Source organism: Homo sapiens, chromosome 6 (genome assembly GCF_000001405.40).
Source record: "Homo sapiens chromosome 6, GRCh38.p14 Primary Assembly".
Lineage (NCBI taxonomy): Eukaryota > Metazoa > Chordata > Mammalia > Primates > Hominidae > Homo > Homo sapiens.
This window is the reverse complement of record NC_000006.12, coordinates 104,285,353-104,293,175: the sequence shown is the minus strand read 5'-3', so window position 1 is coordinate 104,293,175 and position 7,823 is coordinate 104,285,353. Positions and strand designations below refer to the sequence as shown.

The following is a 7,823-nucleotide window of genomic DNA, read 5'->3' as shown; positions in this document are numbered from 1 at the left end:
AACACATCTAGGACCAATGAGTTAAAGCTTCTGGCAGACAGCTTTTGGCTGTAATATGTGGGTTGAAATTCTTTAGTCAGAGTAATCCTAGGAGGGAACAGTCAGGGATGTTTCTTCTAGTCCTGTGATTTCAAATTTGACTGTAGCCAGTGCAAAAAAGAACTATTGTGTCAAGATCTTTGTGGCACCTGTGATATTGTATGACATTTATGGCAGTGAATCAGCTTTCTGTCACTTGATTGGTGAATGGATTAAAAAGACACACTGCAAAACCCCTAAATGATAGAGCAATATTCTAATTGTTACATAATCAAATGACATCAACATCTTTTTCATGAATTAACTGAAGCAAAAGAAAACAACCCCTCCCCAAATCTACAAGATGTCTAAAACCAGCTATGTGTTTAAAGAGTAACTTTGATCTCTTCTTTTCTATTTTGAACCTACAGTTTGCCCTTATCATATGTTGCCTTGTTTTCTAGTTATCATTGTGTCAGAATTTATAAATAGAGCCTATAACTATATAATGCCACAAAACATGAAGCTTTCTTTTCCTCTAATTGTTCTCACTTTAGTCCTTGTCTTCCTAGCTAGATTTTAAGTTGCTTTTGAACAAGGACCAAAGGCTTCATGCTTTTTGTTAAAATGGCTCATGAAAGAGCTTTCAAGCTATTTTCTCTGGTCTGATAGGCATCATAATATGACACAACTGGGATATGTTTTTCCTTCATTCTAGAATTACTTCATAAACAGAGGCAAACAATACATAGATACATTTATTAAACTAACACAGTGGTAAACTCATCAATAATGTTTATAAAGGGTCCACTTTGACCAACAGAGTGTTAGTACCATGGGGACTAGAAAGTATCCTAGGATCCACTTATTCAGAGTCTAGCTTTGCTGGAGAACTAACATATTGGATACATTAAGTTCTCAATGGCTTGGCAATATGAAGAGAGATGAATGCAGTAGTACTTAGGGGTATTTTAAAAACCAAGTCAGCTATGAAGGATGGGAGGAAAAATACAGAAGGCAGATGAGAGGGAGAGAATTTCAAGAATATGTAGCTGTTTGAACAAAAGCCTAATTTTTGTGTTAAATCGTGTCCCCAAAATATATGTTCAACTCCTAACCCCCATTGCCTGTGAATGTGACCTTATTTGGAATTAGCATCTTTGCAAATGTAACCCAGCTAAGATGAGGTCATACTGCATTAGAGTGGGTCCTAATCAAATGATTAGTGTCCTTATAAGATGAGGGAAATTTGGACACGGACATGGAAGAGAATGCCATGTGATGAGAGAGGCAGAGATTGAAATAGTTTGTCAAGGAGCCGGGAAACACCAAGGATTGCACCAGAAAAGAGGCATGGAGTAGATTCTCCCTTAGGTCCTTCAGAAGGGATCAACATTACTGATACCTTGATTTTGGACTTTAGAATTGTGAGACAATACATTTCCGTTGTTATAATGCATCCAATTTGTAGTATAGGTTGAACATCCTTAATTGAAAAATCCAAAATCCAAAATCAAATGTTTTGAGCATTGACATGATGCCACAATTGGAAAATTTCACCCCTGCAGCCAAATGCAGTTGAAACTGTTTCATACACAAAATTATTTAAAATATTATATAAATTACCTTCAGGCCATGTGTATAAGGTTTATATGAAACATAAATAAATCTTATGTGTAGTCTTGGATCCCATCACCAAGATGACTCATTATGTATATACAAATATTCCTGAATCTGAAATCCAAAACACCTCTGGTCCCAAGCATTTTGGATAAGGAATACTTCACCTGTGCTTTTAAAGGCAGCCCTGGAAAACTATTATGCCTAGAGACAGAAAAGTAAGTGGGTGTGGAGGCAGACAGGAGACCTGCTTAGATGAAACAAAGGTTAAAAGATGGGGAGGAAGGAGCAAGGCATGAGTTGAATTATGTAAGAACTTTCCAGAAATAACACTAAATGCAGCTAATAATTTTCTATAGCGCATACTATCTGCCAAACATCATTATAAATGCTTTATGTATATCTCATTTAATTCTCACAACAACCCTTAGAGGTAGGTACTAATGTGTTATCCTTACTTTACAGATTGAAAAAAAAAAAACTGAGGCAAGATGATTAGGTAACTTGCCCAAATATATGTAGCTAGTAAGTAATGTGATAAAGTCAGGATTAGAACCTAGAAAACATGGTCTCTTGATCATACCTACATTTGAAATGGGCTGAAATGCAGAAATAGTGTCATCTTATGGGTATGACAAGAACAGTTAAGCCTGTTATGTTTCCTTCATCAACAGTCTTCTGTTATGTAAAACACTTTTTTTTTTTCTCTGATTAGGATGTTAAAACCTCTTCTTTGGATGGTATAGCAATTTGTCTTGTAACTGTTTATAAATCAGAACTATTTCCTCTCACCACATTACATTTCATTTTCAGACCAATGTCTAATAGTAAGTTAATTCCTCTCTGTTGGGTCACCCAGTCACCATAATTTTGCTGATTTCTTTACTCTTCTTGTCCAAAGAGTATGTTAATTGCTTCAGGAGTTCTGTTTTCCTCAGCATGGTTATAATCAATCTAGAAGACAAGGCCTGGATAACAAAAGCAAAATTACTTCTTGTTGTCCATAGTAATTCCCCCCTACAGATTTTCCCAGAGTGTTTCTTACTAGAGGAAAATGAGCAAACACATTAGATACACCCAAATCTGATGGCCAAACATTTCTTTAAAATGACTTAGTTTCAGTTTTAATTTATAAAACAATTTAATAGAGATTTTAAACATATGGAGATATATGGCAATAGTTTTATATGCTATCTTATGAATTGAAAAAAAAAATATGAATGTTATGGTTAATTTAAATATGATAGGGCAGAAACTGATTTTTCATAATGTTTAATGAAAATATAACACAAATATATATTATAAAAATGTAGTTAGAAGGATTGTTTACGTAAAGCTGGCGGGAAAATCCATACAACTTAAGGATAATAGAGCAAAGAAATGAACAATGGAAAGGAAGACAATAAGATATTTAGAAAGGAAAAGACAAGAACATTATTGAAAAAAGTTGTCTTTAATTTTAAAATTATCCATATGCTACATATTAGGATTAATTAGAAAATAAAAATAGGAACTTTCTGATATGTTTACTTCATGATTTAGTGCAGTATTGAGAAGCAGATATGTAAGTATAATTTCTAACATCTTAATTTTGATTGCTCATAGACTGCCAAGATTGGGAAGGTAATATCAATAAGTCACTGGTATAAAAAGTCTCTTGTTTGTTAGCCAATTGGCTTTCCTTTAAGATGAGAGGAAAGCCTTTGGATGTCTAGCTAAAGATAAATATTCTATACTAATTGACATAAAAGAGTTTTGGTTGTTACACCAACTATGGACCCACCTTGTCAGTCACCCTTGTGAGGAATTATTTGCAGTTGGACTGTAGATGAACGAAATGTACATTACCACAAGGTCAAATTTTCTGGCATCTATTTATGAAAATGATAAAGATGATAGTAACTTATCTTTTCGTAAGCTTCAAATAAGGGGTTCTGAATTATCATTTGTCAATTTTAATTTTCTTTTTTTTTTTTGAGATGGAGTCTCCCTCTGTAGCCCAGGCTAGAGTCAGCTTTAAATTTATAGGAGAAAATAATCTATTGTTAATCACTCATTTTTAAGGAATGCCAGTATGCATTATTTGCTCATGGATTAGTTGTGGCTGCCAGTAAACTGTAATTACAGCAAGGATGGGCACTGAACTGGGAGATACATTCTTAATTTTTGAAAGATATAAAACATAAACCCCTGAGACAGAAGGAAATTACCCTTTCCTAAGTCATGTACTGAGTGGTCCACCTGAGAATGGAATCACACCCATGAGAGCTTGGATACTGGGACAAGGGCATAAATGTGGTGGGTGATGGAAAATGTATTAAAAAGAACGAGAAAAATCTGAGTTTTATTTCTAACTCTCTTGTATGCTAACTAAAATGTGGCCAAATCATTCTTTCTCACACAGTTATTAAGTGTTTGTTCAAGGTGTGTTAAAGGTTTTTTAATTTTGGGGGACTTCAGTTTTCTATATTTATCAATTTAGAAGAAAATAAGAGGATTAAGCCCTCAAGTACCTCTCAGAGCTAAGATTTTTTGACTTTGTAAACATCTAGTTAACACTTTGGCCTGTGGAAGATGCTTTGTCTGAATGTGTTTTCTTCTAATCCTTTCAATATGTTTTAATAAAATGTCACCACCTTTATAAAGTTGGACCTGAAGGATCACCTCAGAGTCCAGGGTCTTGAACTTAAGGCTAGTCTCAATGCTAAGACATAGGAGTGCAGCCCTAGTGCTCTGTGGCTAAAGCCTTCACAGAAGACACACTAAGATAAAGGACACTGGAGTGGACTGCAGTCAAGAAAATTACTGTGCAAACCATATTTTTCATTGTATCAAAACTGATCATTTCCTACAACAAACGTTATGGCATCATCTACTTCAATAAAAGGCGGAAGTGCCTTCAGGTCTGAGCAAGAAACGTTGCCTTTTTGAGTCCCATGCCTTTCATTCCTCTGCCTTTCTTATTCCCCTTCACTAATGCAGTGAAGTACCACTCCTTGGACTGTCTACCCCACTCTTTGGTGTGTCTTTCTGTAGTTAAAAGAAGTATAGTTTTTTTGCTACACACGTTTCAGAATTTCTACTAAGAAGAATATGGACTCTTCACATTGTTTATTTACCCCAAGCTGAGAGTATTAATGTTAGAAGAGAGAAAATGTAGAAAACTTGCTGAATTCTGGTAAAATTCTGGTGTAATCTGAATCATAATCATGTCTGGGATTCAAGCTCATGCCAAAGTAGTACATTTATTTGTGCTTGGGCTAGATACAAATGTTTAGACAGTAAATGCAATATTTTATTCCAAGTTTCATTGTATCTACTTGTGTAAAGCCATCATTGGTGAACTGGGAGAAGAGAATATGAAACTACCCAAGCCTTACATTAGGTTTTGAATATTAAGATATTAGAATAAAAACTATTTCAATGCCTCACAGAAATTGTATTCCGAAAATCCTTGGCAATGCAAGTCCGTCATTGTCAAATTAACTGAAAGTGAGCTATTAATAAATCTCTATTTTATTTATATAAAATATAAACCTCATAAAGCTTATCTTTCTGATAAACATCTGTAATAATACAAAATAAGTAATTTATCTTAAAAAAGTATAGTTTATATTTTCCAAATTGTTCACCAGCAGAAGAAGAATTCTATTCTGTATGAATAGTATAATTGCATCTATACTGGCATCACGTGGACTCATTCTCATGATTAAGAGCTCTATGGGCATATAGGCTTATGTTGCCAAAATTTCCAGCTCTGTGGAGTTCTGAAACTCATGAACAACATTTCTAAGTTATTTTAAAAGGTGGTTCTTTATATAGAGGAATCCAATACATGGAATTTTCCTCTTCTTACTCCTTCTCACCAGAGAAAAGTGATTCTAACTCCAAGGTGCATTCCATACCCATCCATGACTTCCTTAACTTCCGAACCCATCAAGAATTGCCCAGACATTAGAATAGCAGCCAAGCAAAATGAGGTGGCTAGTGCTCTTGGCATCCATATTGGAACTGACTTTTTCCCAGAATAATTTACTTTCCATTTCATACTATTCACAATAGGTCAACATGTTTGTTTAAAATTTTTGCTCTAAAAGTTAACACTACAGCTATTTCATATATTGAAGTTTTCCATTCTCTCGATAAAAACAAGACTAGATTTATGTAACTGAATTATATTTAACTTTTAGTTTTTAAAAAATCTAGATTCTACAAGTTAAAAATAAAAGACGTGAATGAAGAGATGTGATAAAATTTATTTTCCCAATGACATTATCACTGTTTTTTGTTTTCTTTTATTGTTATAATAAGTTATTGGTCATTTGGTTATGTTTAATTATGTTCCAGGCTAGGTCACAATTGCCTCACTGCCTTTCCTACCCCTACTTGTTTAAACTCTCTGGATGATGGTCTCCCTTCTTTAAACTCAAGCTGCTCTAAAGTAGAAAGAAACATCCTGATATCATCACAAAAGAAGATTCAACTTACCACTTTCCTGAGAAATGCTATTTTAAAACCTCTTCTTATTCTTCAGACTACCCTCTTTGATTTATCCTGTTTTTCACCTTCAAAGTTTCTGTGTCTTTTTCCTCATCTGTCTCTGTGTCAGCACAGCGCTATCACTAGAATCTGTATCATCATTCTCTTTTCCAACCCATGTGTCTGGGTCTGACCTCTGCTTCCCTCATGTCTTGGTCTTTGTTAAGCATTTCAGGATCAAATTAAATTTTATGACAGCACCCTTCTGGTATTTTTTAAAAAAGACTATCTGGTTAGGAGGTACATAGTTTTTAGCAACATTTCAACTTGACAGCAATCTGTATATGATTTATGTAGCTTGTTATTTCCCTGTGAAGAAAAGAAAATCTCTTCATAATCACTAAATAATTTACCCCCACAAGAGACCCCTAGAGAGAAATAACAGAAGAATCACTGTGTTGAGAGGACTCATCAAAGCCCACCTACCTCCTGTCCTTTGGGTGGGACTCTTGCCCTTTGGGAAGAGTCTCATTCTTAAACATTTCTGGGGAAGGGAGATTCCACAATTCTGCCTGTCAGCATGTTTCAGTGTATCATGTGATTTTGGACTTCAGCAGTAGAGGACACATTCTGTCTGTCATTTTGTACTAAATATGAATTTAGGAAATGAATAATAGTGTCTTACAAATGGAACTTTGTACCATGGGAGATGATTGGTTGCCAAAATAATTGTGATTGTGAAACAGACCTTCCCTATAATTAGCTGTGTTCCTGTGATCACACAGTTCTCAAGAAAACAGATTGGGGAAGATGTATGTTCAAGGCTTCTATCTTAGGTAAAGTAGAAAGAAAATAAAAATGCCTTGAAGGACGGACAGTGGTTCAATACCAGAAAAAAACGGTTGTGTTTACCACTTACCACCATCATTATTTCTGTATGATTTTCTTCCCAACGTCCTTGCTTCTTCGATGCCATCACCATCTATGCTCCTCATCTCTTGTATTTCTCCAGCAAAGCTCCACGTTGCTATTGAAATTCACCAGAAATATTCTTTGTGATTCTGTCTTTGCCTGGAATGGTTTTTACCCAACATGTACCTATAGTTGGCTTTCTCACCTCTCTTGGGTTTTTATTCCATGATCACTTTCTCTTCGATCCAAAATTGCATTTGTGCCTGCCACACAAATACATATTCCCTACCCGACTACTAGGTTAGTAGCTCTTTGTAGTGCTTATTCACATCTAACATACTGGATAATACCCATGTTTATCATGTTTATTGTCTCTCAATTACCTCTAGAATATCAGCTCCACCATCGCAGGGATCTCTGACTACCAGGCAACTCCCTTGTAATGTTAATAATCTGTTCCAGAAAATCATATGTTCTGTGTGAAAATGTTAACCAGGAATCCATTTCCTATTATTAGTAGTAGACAGAAAATAATGTATTACATATAAACCCAAAACCACAACCAATTTCCCAACATGTATATAAAACAGTAAAACATTTATAAGTAAAAAACTATCATCAAGCAAAAATGTAAAATGCATGAAAAAAATATTTTTTGGTACTTCAAACAATCTGCTTATTAACAAGAAGTTGTCTTATTTATAGGAACACACCTCTTCTTAAAACCAGAGGCACCCCAGACACACATTTTCTGTGCTGATACCACAATTTTCAAAATATCTACATGTGATTTT

At 34.8% G+C, this 7,823-nt stretch overlaps 1 long non-coding RNA gene across 1 annotated transcript; it reads right to left on the bottom strand.

The window, feature by feature from the left end:
* Positions 1 to 6,406: 6,406 nt before the first annotated feature.
* Positions 6,407 to 7,496, bottom strand: LOC105377917 (uncharacterized). Its single transcript, XR_001743890.2, has 3 exons — positions 7,413 to 7,496; positions 7,037 to 7,144; positions 6,407 to 6,486 (listed from the first exon to the last, which is right to left on the bottom strand). It is a non-coding gene; the product is annotated as an uncharacterized LOC105377917 (long non-coding RNA).
* Positions 7,497 to 7,823: the final 327 nt, after the last annotated feature.